This window comes from Homo sapiens, chromosome 7 (genome assembly GCF_000001405.40).
Source record: "Homo sapiens chromosome 7, GRCh38.p14 Primary Assembly".
Taxonomy (NCBI): domain Eukaryota; kingdom Metazoa; phylum Chordata; class Mammalia; order Primates; family Hominidae; genus Homo; species Homo sapiens.
The window spans coordinates 37371410-37392384 of NC_000007.14; the positions used below are offsets into that span (position 1 = coordinate 37371410).

A 20975-nucleotide genomic window follows, 5' to 3' on the forward strand; every position below is an offset into this window, starting at 1 on the left:
TTGCTTGTATCATATACTTAATAAAGGTTTAACATTTCATTATAATCTATTTTGAACTATTTAGTTTTAGCTTTCATTTACTCGGAAAACTTATGTGAAACACCAAACTTAAGCACAGTAACAAAATGGGGGGGTTCCTTCAGTAATAAATATGAAAGTACATATATATATATTTCAATTGGCTATGTCTTAGGAATCTCCAAGCAATCTAGAGGAATCTAGGATCTGCTAACGAACGTTTCTTTTCTTTCCTAAAGAAGTCAGGCGCACATTTTCTACTAAGGTAGAGTTTAGTAACTTCCAGATTGAATAGCACAAGATAACAGCAGACTCTCCTGGTTCTCCTAATTAGTGGCCTGCTTCTTAATCGTTGCCTGAATTCCCTCTTCTCACTCATCCCCTGCATTTAGTCATCACTCCCCTGATGAGTTGCGAAGAGCAGCCGATTTCCGTTGCTTGAGGTGTGATTATTTGGCAGCTCCAGGGAGAGATGGGTTGGGGGAGGTTGGTTCAGAGAGAAATCAGGAAGCAACTGAGATGTAGACCAAGAAATACCTTCTCTCAGTGTCCCTGTTACTAAAACTAATAACTAATAACTGTCAAAGGTAAAATCCTGAAATGACTTAAATTGCTACAAATACTGCCGGTAATTACCATTTAGTCATTCTCTTGACCTTTTGCAGTGAGTATGTGATGAACATTGCCTCTGCTCAGTTTCAGTTAAAAAAAAAAAGATAGCACAGTTCCAAAACTCTAATTTATTATAAAGAATCTAGTCTTGCCCCCACATTTTAAAAATAAGGAAACTACCCCAAAAAAGTTAAGTGACTGAGGCATTTAAAATATGAAGAATGAAGACCATAACCTCTGAGGTCAGAAGGCCAGGGCTAGAACCCTGGATCTAGCACTAACTAGCCAGGTGATTCTGGGTAAATCGGTTAACCTTGACAGGCCTCAGTTTCCCCATTTGTAAAATGGGAATAATACTGCTATAACTCATAGGGTTGCTGTGATGATTAAATGATTACAATGAGTCCCTGGTATATACTACATGCTCAATAAATGATCATTATTATTTTCTAAGTTCACAAAGTCAAGCAGGTCAAAATAAAATTTTCCAGGCATTTATCTTTTTATCCCTCCTAACTTACGTATCTCATTTTTAAAGTTATAGCAATTTAATAATGAGTGCTTTTTATAACTTTGAATTACACTAATAAAATTTTCTCTCTTCCCCAGGGCTAACAGAAACATATGCAAGTGTATTTCAAACTAATAAAAATGCAATAATTTCATAAACAACTGTCACCCTACTTTCTGCCAGTCCCTTCAGTCTAGTTTACATATTTAAAGGAAATTTTCCACTATATTTCTAGATTAATACCTCACTCATTAGGGGATCTGGCAATTGGTGCTTCTCAACATACTTTTTCACCATTATCTATTTTTCCAACCTGGCAATGAGCAGAAGGGAACAATTATCATGAGATAACATCTCTTCCAGTCAGACAGGCTCTTAATGATGGTAAATGAAGCCAGAACCAGCCCTGTATCCTGAGGCTACTAAAGGGAAGAGCCAGACTTCCACAGCTGGTACGGAAGTGGCACCCGTGCTGTGTCACCTACAGGGAAACATCACACAGGCAGGTAAATGGTTCTGTCTGAAATCCTGTCCCATTGTCTGCCTTGAGAGTCAGCATTTCATGGTGCAGCAGGAGACGGAATCAGGTGTAACACTGAAGACGGCGCTAGCAGAGGTCGGTTCTGGGAAAGGCACACTTAACCTAAAGTGAAAAGCAAATCATTTCACCAATCCAATATGCAAAAGCGGTAGTTTAATCAATTTACACTTCTGTAGTAAATCCCTCTCTGTTGAGTATTTTGCTTTATTTTTCCATTAAAAGAATTACAAGGTGGCCAGGCATGGTGGCTCACACCGGTAATCCCAGCACTTTGGGAGCTTGAGGCGGGCAGATCACCTGAGGTCGGGAGTTTGAGACCAGCCTGGCCAATATGTTGAAACCCAGTCTCTATTAAAAATTAAAAAAAATTAGCTGGGTGTGGTGGCACATGCCTGTAATCCCAGCTACTCAGGAGGCTGAGGCAGGAGAAAAGGTTGAACCCAGGAGGTGGGGGTTGTGGTGAGCCGAGATCATCCCACTGCACTCCAGCCTGGATGATAGAGCAAGACTCCATCTCAAAAAAAAAAAAAATCCAAGCCTTATTTGTTTATGGTGCTATTTTAATTTTTTAATTTTAGCAGTGCTTTTATTTTAAACAACTCAATACATTATCATAAACGCTTAATGGCTGTGCAAACAATTTGCACTCACTTTAAACCAATACAACTACCAATGGAAGCTCAAAATATAAACAGAACAAATCCTTAATTCTCAGTTCTCTCCTTTGCCTGCTGCCTCAGGGAGGCCTACTCTGAGCTCAACAAAGGCTCATGTTTAAGGCACCAGCAAAGCAGGAGCACCCAATCAATGAGAAAATAAAACATAATTTGTTACTTAATATTTCTAAAGATATATTGAAGTCATCATTATGGGGAAAATGTACAGTGTTGGATTTCGTTACTTATTTTATTGTTGTTTCTCATTTTAACTAGAGGTAGGGTGTGGGCACCATGCATGAAGTTCCCAGAGAGCTAACGTGGCTGTGGCCCAGCTTTGGTCTGCTTTTCCCAAGAGCTCTAGTTTATTACACCCTGAGAGCATATTTAAAATATTTAACAACAATACAGGGTGCACAATGATCCATCGGAATGAATGCTGGCCCTAACACCAGTATGCCAGTGAGTCCTAGCTGAACATCAGCTCAGGGTCACCCAAGTACCCACAGGGAGAGAAGGAGAGGGGAGGCTGAGGTTTTGCTGTTGTTATGCAACCATCGTGTCTAACTATATTAGCATCCAGCTCTCATTTCTCCATGTTGTCCGAGAATTAATAATTTTTTTGAAATCTTGCTAAAACCTATATATGCTATAACCAATGCATCATTACTGGTTGCCAGATAAAAAAGAACATTAGTTAGTCGTTTAAAAAAATCCCTTGGCACCGGGAGTGGCGGCTCATGCCTGTAATCCCAGCACTTTGGGAGGCCGAGGCGGGTGGATCACAAGGTCAGGAGATCAAGACCATCCTGGCTACTATGGCGAAATTCCATCTGTACTAAAAATACAAAAAATTAGCCAGGTGTGGTGGCACGCACCTGTAGTCCCAGCTACTTGGGAGGCTGAGGCAGGAGAATCACTTGAACCCAGGAGCCGGAGGTTGCAGTGAGCCAAGATTGCATCACTGCACTCCAGCCTGGGCAACAGAGCGAGACTCCATCTCAAAATAAATAAATAAATAAATAAATATCTTGGCTGGGCGCAGTGGCTCACGCCTGTAATCTCAGCACTTTGGGAGGCTGAGGTGGGTGGATCATGAGGTCAGGAATTCAAGACAGTGCAGCCAAGATGGTGAAACTACGTCTCTACTAAAAATACAAAAATTAGCCGGGCGTGGTGATGCATGCCTGTAATCCCAGCTACTTGGGAGGCTGAGGCAGAGAATTGCTTGAACCCAGGAGGTGGAGGTTGCGGTGGGCTGAGATCACACCACTGCACTCCAGCCTGGGTGACAGAGCAAGAGTCTGTCAAAAAAAAGAAGAAAAGAAAGAAAAAATCTCTTAACTCCACAAAGTAATTTTTTGCTCTTTGTTCCCATCTTCCTGATTCCTCTAGTATTTCCTCTCCCTAGAAGCAACACAGTGTTCAAGAGAAGGCATAATCATATTGTAGCAGATTACATTTCCCTTGCTAAACACTTGGTAACTGAAAAAAGAAAAAGAAAATATTTCTGTTTTTGTAATCTAGTAAACAAATATTAAATGGTTCCTAACCAAAAACCTGATTCTGGCAACATGACTCCTGAGCAGTAAGCAAGCTAAGGAACAACAGCTGGTTATCACTTACCTATGCAGGTCTTAGCAGAATTCAGGCCCCTCCCATAGATAGCCTTGTTTATGCCCAGGAATAGCAAGGGCAGTCAGCCCGTGAGGTTCGAAGCAAGATGGAGTCAGGTATGATTCAAGCCCCGGCCCCGGACCCCAGAGCCACCAAGATGTTGATGCCTAAGAAGAACCAGATTGCCATTTATAAACTCCTTTTTAAGGAGGGAGTCATGGTGGCCAAGAAGGATGTCCCCCATGCCTAAGCACCAGGAGCTGGCAGACAAGAATGTGCCCAACCTTCAGGTCATGAAGGCCATGCAGTCTCTCAAGTCCCGAGGCTGTGTGAAGGAACAGTTTGCCTGGAGACACTTCTACTGGTACCTTACCAATGAGGGTATCCAGTATCTCAGTGATTACCTTCATCTGACCCTGGAGACTGTGCCTGCCACTGTACACTGCAGCCGTCCAGAGACTGGCAGGCCTCGGCCTAAAGGTCTGGAGACTGAGCAACCTGCAAGACTCACAAGAGGGGAAGCCAACAGAGATACGTGCAGACATAGTGCTGCTGTGCCTCCTGGTGCCAACAAGAAAGTAGAGGCTGGGGCTGGGTCAGCAACTGAATTCCAGTTTAGAGGAGGATTTGGTTGTGAACATGGTCAGCCACCTCAGTAAAACTGGAGAGGATTATTTCACATTGAATAAACTTACAGCCAAAAAAACTTTAAAAAAATGAACAAACAAACAAACAAAAAAAACACTGATTCTTACAGCTCTTGAAGGAAGTGATGAACCAATTCAGTTAGCAAGGTATAGAATTATACCTTTGATCACAGACCTGACCTAGTGCCCACTGTTTTTAAACATTTTTCTAAATTGTCTTTGCAAAAAACTATGACAGTGAAAGAAATCTGACATACCTGACTCCATCTTGCTTCGAACAGCCCTTCCTCATTCCTGGGCATAGACAAAGCTAACTATGGGAGGGGCCTGAGTACCTGCATAGGTAAGTGATAACCAGCTATTGTTCCCTAGCTTGCTTACTGCTCAGAAGTCATGTTGCCAGAAGTTAAAAGATTTATAACTTCGCTAATTGTTTTCATAGATAACATCACGATTGTAAAACCTAAGATTGGTCTTTGAGATACGTTTCAGATTTTTTGCATTCTGGTGAACCGACTACCACCTCAGGGACCTGACTCATCTCAAGGAACTGACTCAATTAGTACTGTAACCCCCACCCAGAAACTGACTCAGCGCATGAAGACAGTTTTCGACACTCCTGTGAGTTCATCTACAACCAATCAGCAGCACTCATTCCCTAGCCTCTTGACCACCAAATTGTCCTTTAAAAACGCTAGCCTCCAAGCTCTCAGAGAGGCAGATTTGAGAAATATCTCCTGTCCTCCTGCTCGGCTGCCTTGTGATAACTAAACTCATTCCCTATTTCAACACCACCGTCTCAGCGTTTTGGCTTTATCTGTGTAGCAGGCAAGAAGAACCCACTGGAGTGTAACATTTTCATTTATCAGAGATTAAAAAGTTGCAAGAAATCTGTGAACTGGTAACTCACAGCATCCCTTAATAATCCATTACCAATGCTCCTGGACTTTCAATGGAGTTATATCCTGTTAAGTTGAAAAGATCATAAGTGAAATATGCATGTAATATACCTAACCTACAGGACATTCATTATAGCTTAGCCTAGTCTACTTTAAAGGAGCTCAGAACACTTACATTAGCCTACAGGTGGGCAAAATCATGTGATCTCATGGCTGACTGCAAGTTTTGGAGAGTATTACGCCACATATTGCTAGCTTAGAAAAATATCAAAATTCAAAATTTGAAGTACAGTTTCTACCGAATGCTTATTGCTTTTGCACCACTGAACCCCCAAAAATCTTAAGTTGAATTCAGGGACCATCTGTAGTTAAAAATCTCTATAACCATAGGATGTGGTATGTCTCACAAGTTTCAGGAAAGTGAAGGTGCCAGGCCATGTGTCTCGGGGTAGCCAAAGTGAAAAGTCACTTGAGGCAGATCTTCTGGGTTCAGGGATGAGTCAACACAGTGGCCTCACACAGTTACGTAAATGGAATGCGCCAGTACCACCAACAAGGGTAGAATGGGGAATACCACCTTTCTGTGAACAGAGGACGGTCACCCCTCTCAACGCTCTCTGGTAGACAGAGCAGGTCACTGGGGAGAAGGTAGATATACTTGCATGTGGATAGGAGACACCTCCAGGAGCCCTTTTCTCCTGGCATTCAATTTAGACTCTCTGATGGGCCAGGATTCTTCAGAGAGGAAAGCAAATTTAGGGTCTGAAGGGATTAACAGCCCACCAAAGTAGTATTCTGAATTTAAGCAGAACCTCTGAGAAATTCAGCCACCATTGAACCCCCTCCTCCAAGGCTGTTTGCTATGTGGGAGAAGCCAGCGCCTTGGCACCAGGAAGTACAAAATCAGTTGCCATAAGCATCAAAAAGCACAACAGGGCCTGCTATACTTCCCCACTGAAGCTCTGCACTACTCTTATTTGTTAAATTGGTATATAAATTTACCTGTCTGTGTAGCACTCATCAAAGAGTACTTCAGCATATGGAAATCGACCTTGTCTTTTCTCCTTTTAGTCTGTCTATTGACAGTTAATGCACAGCCCCCATCCCTCAGACCATGCAACCCTAAGAAGAAAAGTTTTCTTCCCAAGGCAATTCCCAAAGATGGGAGGAGAAGTCAGAAGTACAACCCAAGTTCAGAAACAAAATCCGGAGGTCCCTATGGATGGGTTGGTCCAGCTGATGGCATGGCTGCCACTGAAGCTTCTATGGTCCCAGCCATGCTGGGATGGGGACTCTGCCCTGGGACAGCAGCTGAGCTTGGGAGTGAACTGAAGAGCTGTAGCCTCAGAAGGCCAGTGCTGGGGTACTGTGTGGCCTGTACAAGAATCTAGACCAGATAAAGCTCCCCGTTCTCTCTCTTCCTGGCATCCTGAAGCAGATCTGAAACCTGCACCAGGAAAACCACAGAAGTTTGTGGAGAGAGGTAGAACTGAGGAGATGAGTATTAACTCACTGTCCACCTAATGCATGCAAAAGAATGTCCAGAAAACTGATACGAAAATAGAAAGAGGGGTTACCAAATCTGGACTCTGATAAACACGAATCTACAAATCTCCCTCTAGAAAAAGAGGGAGATAAAAGGAACAAATGTCATTTTAAAAATTCCTACTGCCGTGGTATAAACGAAAAAAAAAACTAATATTTACAGATGGTCTTCTATGTAAATGAACTTTAATTTGCTATATTCTTGACTCTGTGCCCCAAGATCTACTTCTCCTTCAACATTTCCCCTTTCAGAAAATGGTACCTCTGTTCAAACAATTTGAAAATCATTCCTGATCTTTTTTTTTTATCTTAAACATTCATATTCAAAACTAACAGATCCGACCTTGTGAGTATCTCTTCCAAACCTATCTTCTCCTTTCACCGCTACTGCCACCATCACTTTTGCTTGGACTCCTGCAGTAGCCTCGTAACTGGTCCTTTGCATTCACTTGCTCTTCCTTCCACTTCCAATTCCATACACTCCAGAGAACTGTAAAATATCTTATTACTTCCCTGCTCAGAATCCTTCAGTGGATCCCCATTGCTCCTAGAATTCTTAACAGGACTTTATCTTGCATCACATTCTTCTTCTTTTTTTTTTTTAGACGGAGTCTAGCTCTGTCGCCCAGGCTGGAGTGCAGTGGCGTGACCTCAGCTCACTGCAAGCTCCGCCTCCCGGGTTCATGCCATTCTCTTGCCTCCGCCTCCCAAGTAGCTGGGACTACAGGCGCCTACCACCACTCCTGGCTAATTTTTTTGTATTTTCAGTAGAGACGGGGTTTCACCATGTTAGCCAGGATGGTCTCGATCTCCTGACCTCGTGATCCACCCACCTCGGCCTCCCAAAGTGCTGGGATTAACAGGTGTGAGCCACCGCGCCCGGCCTCATCACATTCTTCTTCTTCATTACTTTTCAGCCACTAAGATCTTCCTTGAAGGGGTCAGGCTCTAGACTACCTCATTCTCCACCTGGGAAGCTCTTCTCCTGGTAAAATGAAGCTCATCTACTGATCTTGCTTTAAATTTCATCTTCTCAAAGAGGCCTCCCATGCCTCACCATTCCACCTTCCCAATTCTATACTTCTTCTTGTCAATAAAAGCTTATTGTTTTTCTTCATAGAACTGGTCATAATTTATAACTTGTGATCTGAGAGATCAAAACAGATACCCCTTTATCAATTAAGATGGACTCTAAGGTTAAGAAAAGAAAGATTTTTATGTATTGAGGTGTCAGGACCCAGCTGGCATGGCAAACTTCCAAATTCCTGTGGCTCTAAACTTCTAAACAATAGGAGATATCAGACTTCTCCTAAATCTGATTTACAACCCAGGCCACCGCAACTCTGATTGGACAGAGGACGGGCCTCACAAACATTCTTTTTGGATAAGGTACTGCAGACCTTAGGCCAGTTTCAGCAGCTTATAGAGGATGCACACAAACTGTCTTTGTGTCCTATAGTTCACCTTTGGATGTAAAGAGCCTTTTCCACCTCGTTTTAATTCTAAAACTATGCCCCAAAGTGAATGTGGGATGTATGTTGCATATATGTTTACCCATTGTGCATGCACTTGGATCCTCTCATGAATATGCACAGGATTTCCCCCAAACCTGCTGAATATGCGTGACTCTTGTGTAGTATGAATTCTGTGAGGCATAAAATCCAAGCTGTCCTTCCCCTCTTCCAAGATAGAGTACCTTCAGTCCATGTACAGACTTCCTCTTCCTGGCTTGCAAACCCATATTACTAATAAAGCTCTCCTTTCTACTATTTAGCCATCCTGGTGGCTTTTTGAATGACAGACAATATGATAATTTGTATGCTTATTCATTTTGTGTCTTCCTATTCCAATACACTATACACACCATGCAGAAAGAGCACATGTTGGTTTTGTTTATCACTGACACCCATTTCCCAGTATAGTACCTGGCTACATAGGGGATGGACAATTATTTGCTGAATGCTACTGAAAGGAGGTATTTTAATATCCATTTTACCTGGGATAGGATGACCATATGACCCAGTTTGCTTGACATAGCCTTTGTTTACATGTGTTGCCCTGGCATAATGACTGATAATGTCTCAATGTTACTTTCCGAAGCTGATAGTCAGAAAGACTGAATACAATGCATTCTCACTATCAGAAGTAGTTGTGTTCTATAAAGTCACCACAAACACTGAATTTGCCAACACTAAATGATCGCTCCTGAAGGAAAATACAGAGTTAGGTCCCTCTGAGAGTAATGTCACAACATCGTTGTCAACATATCAATGTGCAACTTTATTTTATGTGTGTTTCTATTTAAAGACACTTTCTTTGATACATTTTATTGAGTTATTAACTTTGAACCCATGGACAACAGCACTGTAACTCATGCCTGAACGAAGCTCATCTAACACTCATATTTCCTCCATAAGGCACATACAGCCTTCTTGTGCTTAGGAACATTAGATAGCACGCCAGTACCACTCTTAGGGCCATTTTAAAAAGCTAAATCACCAACAGAAAGCACAAAAATGTGAAAAACGTGGCATTAAATAGACCACAAAAAGAGTACTTGTTTACAGTATGAGACATGAAACAAGAAGACAGGGCTAGAAACATGCCCGTCAGGCAACTCAAATTTTTCATTGCTCTGCTCATCCACAAATGACCACAAAAGTGCCTTAAGCACTGATTTGGGGGTTACAAATAGATACTAGCAAGTAACTGGATTCTCAAATACAGAATCTGCCAATAGCACAGATAGCTTGTCTAAGATTACCCAGCTGCTGTAGAGTGAGAACTGATCCCAGATAATGTCCAACTTCACAGTCCGTGTCATTCATAAGACAACTATTACTAAGAAAAGAACCAACCTTTCTCAGAGTACCATTTCTCTAATCTGGGTGACCATAATTATTTAAACCCCCTAGATTACTGGTTTACTAAAGTTCCAGTACCAAAGGCAGAGTTTGAGAAGCAGAACTTCATGAAGTGGACTTAATTCTGTACGAAAGTAGTCAGTAATATACAACCCTGCACTAATGAAGAGTGAAACCACTGGGAACTGGCTACTACCTCTTAAGTGACAATTCACAAGGCAATCCCAGAGTACTTACAATAACAATGGGTGGTTTCATGATGGAATGTAGACCATAAGATTAACATAAATGTAAACTTATGGAAAAATAAAAATTTTCAGAGTTAAAGCTTGAACCATCCACAAACCAATGTCGAGGGAAATTTATCTCTAGAACATGAGAAATCCAGTGTCCACACCTCTTCCCAGTCCATAGGGATGGAGAGAGTCTTCAACAGGGTTCCAGGATTGACCACTCCCACCATTCCAAAAATCCTTTCTATGGTGAATTTCTCACTTCTTAGTAAAATTTCATTTCCTCTTCTAAAACACATTCAATAACAAAGGTTAGGATCCCTCTGCAAGTTTATGAACAATGGGAATAAAATATTTTAAATTATATACTTTCAAGTTGACTCCTAAGGAGCCAAAAAGAAAAAGAAAAAAAATTATATAGTAGTTTTCTTTAAGAATTCAGCAATCTATACATTAGAAAAATACTTCCTACTGGTCCATTTCATTCTAACTCACTCTTCTGGTATGTCAAGACTCTCTGGATAAAAGATAATTTTGAAATATTTTAGCTATTTTATATACATTTAAGGCAATCTCAGAAACACTTGCCTTACCTTTAAAAAAGAAAAGTTTCCTTCCTACTACTTAGAAACCACTAGGATAGAGGGTGTTCTGCAATTTTGGAGAAAATAAAATGTTTTCTCCTAAGCCCAGTTTAGAGTCAATCATTCAAAATAATTTCAGACATACATAAATATTCCAAGATGAATGTAAAGTATACCCTTCACCCGTATTTCCCAAATAGTAACATTTTATCACAGTAACTTTATCTCGCTTTTTCTTGTATTATTTTTTTCTGAACTGTGAAGGGGTTCAGAGTATGCCATTCAAAAATACGCCACTTTGGCGTAAGAATTATTTTGAGCTGAAGGTAATTTTTTTAAAAGCAGAAACAGGACATGCTCTTGGCCCTCTCACTATCTGCCTGAAAGCAGAAGATAAATTCTTGTAAAGGTGTCCCCACCATCCCATACCAGGAAGGGGATAACAACCTTATCACCTGAGATGAGACTGCATCAGGATGGACCTGCACAAACAAACCTTACTAAATTAACCCTTATCTGCCATTAGTATTCCCCACGTATTTACTTTCCCACAGTCTGCCACCCTGGGAAGCCTAAAACCCTTTTCCTTTGTCTTATCACTTCTCTGCAAATTTATTTTTCTTTGTTAAGATACTAGATAAGCCCAAGTTCTAACCACTCCACAGAGATACTCATCACTGAGTTTCTCCCAGGTGTATGCATGCTGCATGTACTAATAAACTTCTGTTTGCTATCTCTTGTTAATCTGTCTTTTGTCAATCTAATTTGCAGGGCCCCAGGCCCAGAACCTAGGAGGGTAGAGACAACAGAATAGTTCTCCTTCCCCTTCAACTGTATTATGAGTAAGTTGCAGATGTGATGCCACTTTTCCCCTCCATACTTCAATGTATATTTCTAAAGAACAAGAACATTCTTTTAGATAATCACAGCACAATAATCAAAATCAGGAAATTAACATTGATACACACTATTATATAATCTACAGGCCCTCTTTAAATTTCACTAATTATCCCAATAATGTCCTTTATTATAAAAGAAAAATGAATTTGCTTCCCTGGACTAAAAGCCAATCCAAGATTGCTTAGGGCATTGAGTTTTTCTGTGTCTTTAATCTCCTTTAGTTTGGGATAGTTCTTCATTCTTTCTTTGCCTTTCATGACGCTGACATTTTTTAAGAGTACAGAAAAAATCACAAAAGTTTATCTAACATCTCGCCTCACAGTGAGAGTCAGGTTATGCATTTTTGGCAGACCTATCACGGGAGTGATGCTATATCAGAGGGCATATATAGTTGGTTTGTCCCATTAACAGAGACGTTAACTTTGACCACTTGGTTAAAATTGTTATCTTCCTGGTGAGTTAATGAAATTTTACTTGTCATTTATGTTACACGGCATTTGAGACAAAAATTTCAAAACATTTCATAAATGAGCACACTTATATAAGTGTCTACTGCTTACATATTTTGTTACATTTTTGGAAATTTTATTTGGGGATTCATCTTTAAGTTCTGCCCATTTAATTATTCCTTCTATTATTGGGTATAATATTTCTAGCACATTTCCTTTTAATGTCGTAACTATGTTACGGGAAAAGAGTCTAATCATAGATTATTTTAGGCAACATTTAAAAGGATACACGTTTTAGGTAAAGTTTGAAATATACAGGGCTTTTTGTTGTTGTTGTTGTTGTTGTTTGAGATGGAGTTTGGCTCTGTTGCCCAGGCTGGAGTGCAGTGGCGCGATCTCGGCTCACTGCAAGCTCCGCATCCCCGGTTCATGCCATTCTCCTGCCTCAGCCTCCTGAGTAGCTGGGACTACAAGCGCCCGCCACCGCGCCCGGCTAATTTTTTGTATTTTTAGTAGAGACGGGGTTTCACCGTGTTAGCCAGGATGGTCTCGATCTCCTGACCTCGTGATCCACCCACCTCGGCCTCCCAGAATGCTGGGATTACAGGCGTGAGCCACTGTGCCCGGCCGAAACATACAGGTTTTGATGGCTTCTATATTTTACTTATGGTATAGAATATGTTGCTTAGAGAGTCTATTGAATTCTATTTTAGTCATACCTATTTTGATAATACAGATTATTACCTCTTTTAGTAACACAGACTGAAAACAAATGACACGATTAAGATGATACTATGCACATGTAATTACCTGGACTCAAACAAGATTAATGAGGTGTTATAGATGCAATAAAAAGTGCAAACCATTAGAAAAGGCACAACATTTATAAACAGGAATGAGCAAAATAATTAGATTGAAGAAAAATTAGAAGTTTCCAGTTTGTTTATTTGTCAGGCCAGGCGCAGTGGCTCACGCCTGTAATCCCAGCACTTTGGGAGGCCGAGGTGGGCGGATCACGAGGTCAGGAGATCAAGACCATCCTGGCTAACAAGGTGAAACCCCGTCTCTACTAAAAATACAAAAAATTAGCCGGGCGCGGTGGTGGGCGCCTGTAGTCCCAGCCACTCGGGAGACTGAGGCAGGAGAGTGGCGTGAACCCGGGAGGCGGAGCTTGCAGTGAGCCGAGATAGAGCCACTGCAGTCCGGCCTGGGCGAAAGAGCAAGACTCCGTCTCAAAAAAAAAAAAAAGAACTTTCCAGTTTGTTTATTTGTCAAGAAAACAGTAAGTTCTAGATCTACTTGAGAGGTTGCCTCAGAAATCTGACCTCAACAAATTACTTCTTTCACTCTAATCTGCAATAAAACTAGCAACGGTTGTACACACAAAAAAAGACATGAGTAAAAATGCACACGAATTCGTTTGAGCTTGTGACCATGTTCAGGTAACACTGTAAATATCACATTTGAAAAGATGCAGAATTATTTGACAATATGCAAAAAGTATATATTCCATACTTTGCTTTGAAGTTCTAAGAATCGTAAACACTGTCTAGGAATTACTTTAAAGCCTCGCTGTAATATTTTACCTGCCACATATGCATAAACCTCTCCTAGCTGCTCCCTGGACAGTGCCGAAAAGTCCACCTCTAGCTGATCTCTCTGACTCTACTCTTGCCCACAGTAGTTGATGCTCTAGAATGATCCATTTGAGACCTAAGTCAGGTCATGTGGCTGCCCTACTCAAAACCTTCGAAGGCACCCTATCACGTTTAGAAAAGCATTCGAAGCCCCAGCTATGGTCCATCTGCCTCTATGGTCTGGCCTCTGGCCCCTTTTCTGTTCCTCATTCCATCTCCCCCTCCCCTCCAGCCACACTGGCCCTGCTATTCCCCAGCAGGCCAAGCACAGGGCTGTTCAGCTGCCCACAACATTTCCCGAACTGCCCTGTGGCTCACTCCCTTTCTTCACTCCGGTTTCCATTCAAATGTCACCTCCTTAGAGAAGAGTGATTTGGCTCCTATCTAAAATGGTGCTCTCTGTCCTTCCCACTCCACTCCCCTGTTTTATTTTCTTGATGGCACTTCTCAGGGTCTGAAATCATCTCAGACATTTGTTTACTTGTTTATTTTCTGGATCCCTGAATAGAAAAGAAGCTTCATGCAAGCATGAGTATTTGGTTTCCCACTGTATCCCGTGTCTAGGAGAGGGTCTGGTAGATATTGACACCTAATAAGCATTTGTTGAGTGAACAGCTGAGCGAGCGCTAGCTTCCCACATGGCAAAATGCATGCACACACACAAAATACGAAGGGGCGGCCAATCTGCCTTCACAGAGGCAGAACCGCCCCTAGAGCTTTTGAGGAACCACCTGGAGAACATGGGAAACTACCAGTGCCAGGCCCAGCTTCCGGAGATGCCAATTCCCCAGGAAGTCCTAGTGTTACGTGCTCCACAGCTGACTGTGATCCAGGCAGGAGCCAGAAATTTTACCAAGATCTAGGCCCCTCCTCAACCGGAGAGCTCCAGGGCTGTCTTTCAGATGCTGTGTTAGTTGCCTGCCTTTTACCCAGAATGACTTCACCTTTAAGGAAGTGCCTGCAACCCACAGTGGTGCAAGCCACAGTGATTTCATGCCCAGCCCTGGAGCTGGTTCCTTGAGGAATTAGCATACTTCCTCAACAAATGTGTTTTCTTTGTGAAGAAACGGTGTGCAGCCAGAAAGTCGCCTTGGATTTGGAAGCCTATCGGATGTTGCAATTGTTTTGAGCAGGTAGCTGGGGAGGGAGGGCTGGAGGGAGGAATCAAGGACTAGGTTTGGAAAATGGGCAGAAGGTGACAGAGATAGATGATTCCTGCCTAGGGAGACCACAGAGAAAAGGGGGCAGGGGCTGGAGGGGGGAGCCCAGGTCTCCAGTCTGTCTCCCCATAGTCCTTACAGCCCTGGACTCACTGCCCTTGTACAGAGCCTCCCACAGACCCTCACGACAGCCTTCCTAGGGAGTCGTTATTGTCCCTAAGTGTTAAATCAGGACGCCACAGGAGAGAGCAGCTAAACTACCTGCACCTGGTCCTGGTAAGGTAAGTAGAGATCCAGGGTCCACACTCAGGTCAGGTTTAGTAGAGATCCAGGGTCCACACTCAGTTCAGGTAAGTAAAGATTCAGGGTCCACACTCGTGTCAGGTAAGTAGAGATCCAGGGTCCACAGTCAGGTCGGGTAAGTAGAGATCCAGGGTCCAAACTCATGTCAGTCAGGCGTGCAGCCCGAGAGTTCTCGGTTTCAACAAAGATCCTCCCATCCCCTGCCGAATTTTGGTTGGAGCCTCCTCCCCAAGCCCTTCCCTGCACACGGCCTGGTGTCTGCTTCCTTCAGTGGTTATTAGCCTTGCATGCACATTGTAATTGACTCAGAGTTTTTAATAAAATATTTGATCTTCACTCCCAGAGAGTCTCAATTAATTGGCCTGGAGCAAGGCCCAGGCAGTAGTTTTGTTTTGTTTTGTTCCTGCTCCCCAGATGACTCTAATATATAGCAAGAGTAAGAAACCTCTGTTCCAGGTCAATGGGAAGTAAGGGCAGGCCCCAGTGAAAACATCACAAATAGCATAAAGAATAAACCCACAGAAAAGAAAGAACCAGAGATGCACTTGAGTATGCAGCTTCTAGCACAAAGGATATGGCCCTGGCCTATCCTGAAAAGAAGTCTGAGGTACTAAACTCAACCCAAGAGTGCCAATGGATTAGTTCCGAGTGCTGCCTTAACAAAGCATCACTAACTGTCTCACAGTCGTGGAGGCTAGAAGTTACAAGGCCAAGATGTCAACAGAGCCCTGCTCCCTCTGAAAGCACTAGGGAAGCGTCTGTTTCAGGCCTCCCTCCTAGCTTCTGGTAGTTCCTTGGCTTATAGCAGCAACACTCCAATCTTCATGCTGTGTTCTTCTTGTGTGTGCTTCTATCTCTAAATGTCCCCTTTTTATAAGGACCAGTCATATTGGATTAGGGGCCGACCCTACTCCAGTATGATCTCATCTTAGCTAATTGCATCTAAAACCATCCTATTTCCAAACAAGGAAACATTCTAAGGGCCTGGGGGGTTAGTACTCGAATATACCATTTTTGTAGGGGACACAATTCACTCCAGACAGGCATATAGAGCCAAACTTTGAGGCAGTGTTTCCCTAGCAGGCACTTAGGAACTTACTCCTGTGGGAAACCAGATGTCTGTTCCACTCGCTGTCCTGAAAAGTCATGATGTACTTTTGTATAGAAAAGGCTCAGAAAAATCCTTCAGGAAATCAATCTGTTTGCTTTATTTATCCTAGTGTCTCTCAAATTTATTCAACCATGGGACCCTTTATTTTACTTTGAGACAGGCCCTTACTCTGTTACCCAGGCTGAAGTGCAGTGGCACAATCACAGCACACTGCAGCCTTGACCCCCTGGGCTCAATAGTTCCTCCCGCCTCAGCCTCCCAAGTAGCTGGGACTACAGGTACATGCCACCACGCCTGGCCAATTTTTACATTTTTTTTGTAGAGATGGGATCTCCCTATGTTGCCTGCCCAAGCTGGTCTCTAACTCCTGGCCCCAAGCAATCCTCCAGCCTCAGCCTCCCAAAGTGCAAGGAACCCTTTAAACATCACCATCTAGTAACAATCTGTGGAATACACTTTGAGAAACAATGCCTTAAAAGTCAGAGTGTGAAATTAGCCATTATTATCCAGACAGATGAATGAAAGCCTCCTATGAGTGTGAAAGTGCCCACCACCAGAGGAGCAGACAACTCGATACAGAGACAACAGGTCTCCCCTTGAGTTAACATACACAAATACTAAGAACAAAACAAGACTTACCAAGACCAAAATACTGCATTTTTTTGTACAGTGTTGTAATAAGTAATCCTGACATTTATTACACAATTTATGTAACTAATTTTTTTTTTTGGTAATATTATAATCATGTACCACCACATTTCAAAGAATGACATTTCAGCTTTCTGGGAAGTTGTAATTGGGAAAAAGGAGTATTATAATTTGGAGCAGGGCACACTGGCTGGGAAAACCAAATGTCTTTCTGGATCCCCATACCATCTTGGAGAAAGATGCTGCAGTCACTCCATGATGCCAGGGCACATCATGTGCAAAAAAAAAAAAAACACACAAAAGACTGCCACCAGCTGGGCATGGCTCATGCCTATACTCCCAGTGCTTTGGGAGGCTGAGGTAGGAGGAGATCTCTTGAGCCCAGGAGATAGAGGTTACAGTGAACTATGATTGTGCCATTTCCCTCCAGCCTGGGCAATAGAGAGAGACCCTGTCTCTAAAAAAGTTTTTAAAATAAAAATACCGCCGTCACCTGACCCACACAAAAGACGTTCTGCATGTCAACAAGAGCTTTGGGAGGGATAGCTTTAAGTAGCACACAAAATAATCCAATACACATTTTAGAAGTGAGGCTTCTAAAAATAAAACCACATAATTTCCATGTTTTTGAAGCAGAACTTCCTCAGACAATTCCCTGAACATGGGAACCATGGGCTATTTCAATACTGAAGTGCTTACATTTTTCCGGTTTCCTCCTTTGAGCAAACTAGGCTTTCTTTTTTAAACTTTAATTCAAGGAAAGAAATAACAATGCAACACCAAAGCACTACTTTCCACAGCAGCAAATTAGAGAGGGCTAATTTGTGGGCATGGCTGTGCCCTGTTATCTGTACCTTGTCACTTTAATTCAGCACAACCCAAACCCGGCAATTCCTTTCATTTTGACTTTTCCACAGAGCAGAATTTTAGCCTTCACGCTGGGTTTCAAAGAGTCCAAAATAAAACCAGCCCACATTAAGCAAAACAGCCACATAAAACCTTTCCTTTATGTATGGAAGAAAGGACTTTCCAAGTTCAAAAGGATTTTTTGTTAAGCAGTCTTGGTAATGTTTTTAAAAGTCTATTTTAAAAAGTTGAGTGTTTTTCCCTCCATTGTGTTGATGCACATGTAGACCAGTATGTCTATTTCCTCTAGCGGAAGCAATGAAGTTGTCACCTGAAATGTGTACACTTCAGTCCACTGCTAAAACACCTCAGGCAAGCGAGAGTCTCGAATCGTCCAGGTAGAAGACAAACCTTCCATCCTGCCACACTGTGGAGCATGAAGAGGCAGGAATAATAGCTTGGTCACAGGTAGTAGGGAGACACAGGACTCTCCAGACCCTGATATTCAGCTTTTGCTGGGAAATCCAGTTCTCCTTTAACCATAGGAAATAGGCTGTCAGGAGTGTAGGGGAACCAAATACTTCCACCTCTACCTAGGGGTATGCGTAAAGAATGAAGCACGGGCATCCCCCGAGATTCTTACTAATTCTCCAGCATGTGCAACCCTCATTAGGGAGAGCTGCTCTTTGAAACAAAAATTAATCACCGTAAGCAGAAAGGCACGCTTCCCACAGTCTCTCCCATGTTGCCCAACTTCCAAAATCTCATAGCCTTCCCTATCCCACCTCTTGAAATTCAGATTCTCTAGCGCTTTCATCCCCTGAGAAGTCACCCATGCTCTGGTTCCAGAAATCATTTGGTTAAAAATCAAAAGAACAAGAAATGTCTGTGTATAGGCTATCACAGCAGCAAGTTGTAAAACTGCACCATGGACGTAAAAATGCAGACTTTTTAAAAACACAAACGGTAACTGGAATTTAGACCTGGTGCCTCCACCCTAAATCTGTATTTTGCAGCTGTCGCTATGAGCATAAAGTCAGCCCCTTAACTGAGCAGGAACCCAAGAAGCATTTCTTCACAGCTGTCAGGCTTGCGCCACTTGCATGGAGTATGAACGGTTTCACATGAAGCCCGCACTCACTGTGCAAGGGAAGGTCTCGCAGAGTGGAGGGTGGCAGAACTCCTCCCATCAAGTAGGAAATCTGACTGACAAAGACACAGGTCAGTAGGGTGCCCCAAGGAGCACATTTCTTATTACACTCTGCCTTTTTTTTTTCTTCTGACTCCCAGACGCACAGAGGCCCAGGGACAGAAAAAAAGCAAAAGCTACAGGTTCCTAAGCAGACTCAGGCCCTACCTGTTTTGAATAGCATGTGTTTCCAGTAATTCTATTTCTAATCCTTTTCATGGTCCCCTAGGTTAGGACTCATCACAGTCCCTGACCCAGTAAAAAAATCAAACAGATATCAAAGACTAATGTCAGAGTTCATATAGGGCTTATGGGTTTGTTTGCAAATGGAAACCAAGGCTCCGCTCTTTGAGACTTATAGGTGCTTACCACCCCCCAGCCCCCATGCTATTGCTTCTATCCACCAGGTGTTGAGGGCCATGAGCTTATCAGGAGTTTGCACTTTTAGATGAGAGGACAATCTGGTTATAGACAACTGCCAGGGCACACAGGTGGCTGGGGCAGGACACCAAATTGACCTGGTGACCCTGTAGACACTGTTTCCCATCCCCAACTGAATATGTGATAGAGGGAAGTGGTTCAATGTTCACATCAAGCCCAAATCAGGTATATTCTGGGAAAGTAGTCCCTTCCTTCCTTCCTTCCTTCCTTCCTTCCTTCCTTCCTTCCTTCCTTCCTTCCTCCCTCCCTCCCTCTCTCCCTCCCTCTTTCCCCCCACCGCTCTTTCTTTACTTCTTTCTTTCTTTTGTATTTTTGAGACAGAGTCTTGCTCTATTGTCCAGGCTGGAGCGTGGTGGCTCGATCTCAGCTCACTGCAACCTCCACCTCCCGGGCTCAAATGATTCTCCTGCCTCAGCCTCCTGAGTAGCTGGAATTACAGGTGCCCACCAACATGTCCGGCTAATTTTTGTATTTTTAGTAGAGATGGGGTTTCACCATGTTGCCCAGGCTGGTCTCGAACTCCTGACCTCAAGTGATCTGCCACCCCGGCCCCCCGAAGTGCTGGCATTACAGGCATGAGCCACCGCACCCAGCCCAGAAGTAGTTATTTATAAAGGCATTTGTGTGCAAGGCCTTATAATATTATGACAAAATATAAAATATAAAATTACACTAAGTTGAGGACTCTTATGTTCGACCAGTGTAAGCCAGTCTATATATGTACTTCCTCTCTAAAAATTCTTTGAAGAAAACAGAGTTTATACCAGGAGGTGCACACGGCCTTCGTTACTCATGGAAGGACCCACACCTTCATGGTGGGTCTCTAGCCACTGAGCCATCCAGAGACCCCAGTTGGGGGCCGACTTGCATGCCACATTCCTGATTTCAGGAACCTCTTCAGAAACAGCCTCTGCTACTCAAGAGCTTCAAGATTTGGGCAAGCCCCCATGTAACACTCACCAGGGAAGAGCTGGCTTTTATACAAGGAACGATTTGGGACCACAGGTTCCAGGGCTAAGTACCCAGAAGGCCTACAGGAGAAGTGGCCATCTGTGCAAGAAAGAGCAGCAAAGCCTGTAGGGAAGTGTGTGTACCCCCCTAAGAAAGCATTCAGTTGTAGAAAGAGAACTGTAATCTCCACACACATGCAATGGCCCTGCGTGGACTTTGCACCCAGAAATTGAAGAACTTGAGTTTCCAGCAGGGAGACACACTGTTCTCAAATGAGAAATATAGATATTCTGGCTAAATTTCGAAAGGAAGTCTGCAACCCGGGGAAGTTAAAGAACTCTAGAGATAATAAAATATTCCAGGATGGTAAACTTTTTTTTTTAAAGTCTTTCCTTCCTCTGATGTGGCTCCAGACTTCGAAACAAAACAAAACAGAAAGAGGGAAGTTGCTACTCTAGAGGTCAGCATATCTCTAACTCAAGTTCCCACATGGCCAGTGGTCTCTGAGGCAGTACAGGGTAGCAAGGAGAAGCTCTAAGGAACCTGAATAAAGTGGCATATGCCTCTGACAGTTAACGTATAAAACCAACCCAGAAAGAAGGAACACAAGATC

The 20975-nt window shown here is 42.9% G+C and overlaps 1 protein-coding gene and 1 pseudogene across 10 annotated transcripts in view, besides 2 other annotated features; one reads left to right on the forward strand and one right to left on the reverse strand.

Moving 5' to 3' along the window:
* Positions 1 to 20975, reverse strand: part of ELMO1 (engulfment and cell motility 1) — a 596421-nt gene that overhangs the window by 518504 nt on the left and 56942 nt on the right. The gene's annotated exons all lie outside the window — the stretch shown is intronic.
* On the forward strand, positions 4078 to 4664 carry RPS10P14 (ribosomal protein S10 pseudogene 14; annotated as a pseudogene).
* Positions 4793 to 5992: an enhancer, noted in NCBI's record as "P300/CBP strongly-dependent group 1 enhancer chr7:37415805-37417004 (GRCh37/hg19 assembly coordinates)". NCBI's record gives its function as "activates an origin of replication core promoter dependent on BRD2, BRD4, P300/CBP, MED14 and CDK7 cofactors, with strong dependence on P300/CBP, by STARR-seq in HCT116 cells {active_cell/tissue: HCT116}" and the evidence as "EXISTENCE:reporter gene assay evidence [ECO:0000049][PMID:35650434]".
* Positions 5044 to 5244: a silencer, noted in NCBI's record as "peak6489 fragment used in MPRA reporter construct". NCBI's record gives its function as "represses an SCP1 promoter by STARR-seq MPRAs in K562 erythroleukemia cells {active_cell/tissue: K562}" and the evidence as "EXISTENCE:reporter gene assay evidence [ECO:0000049][PMID:32103011]".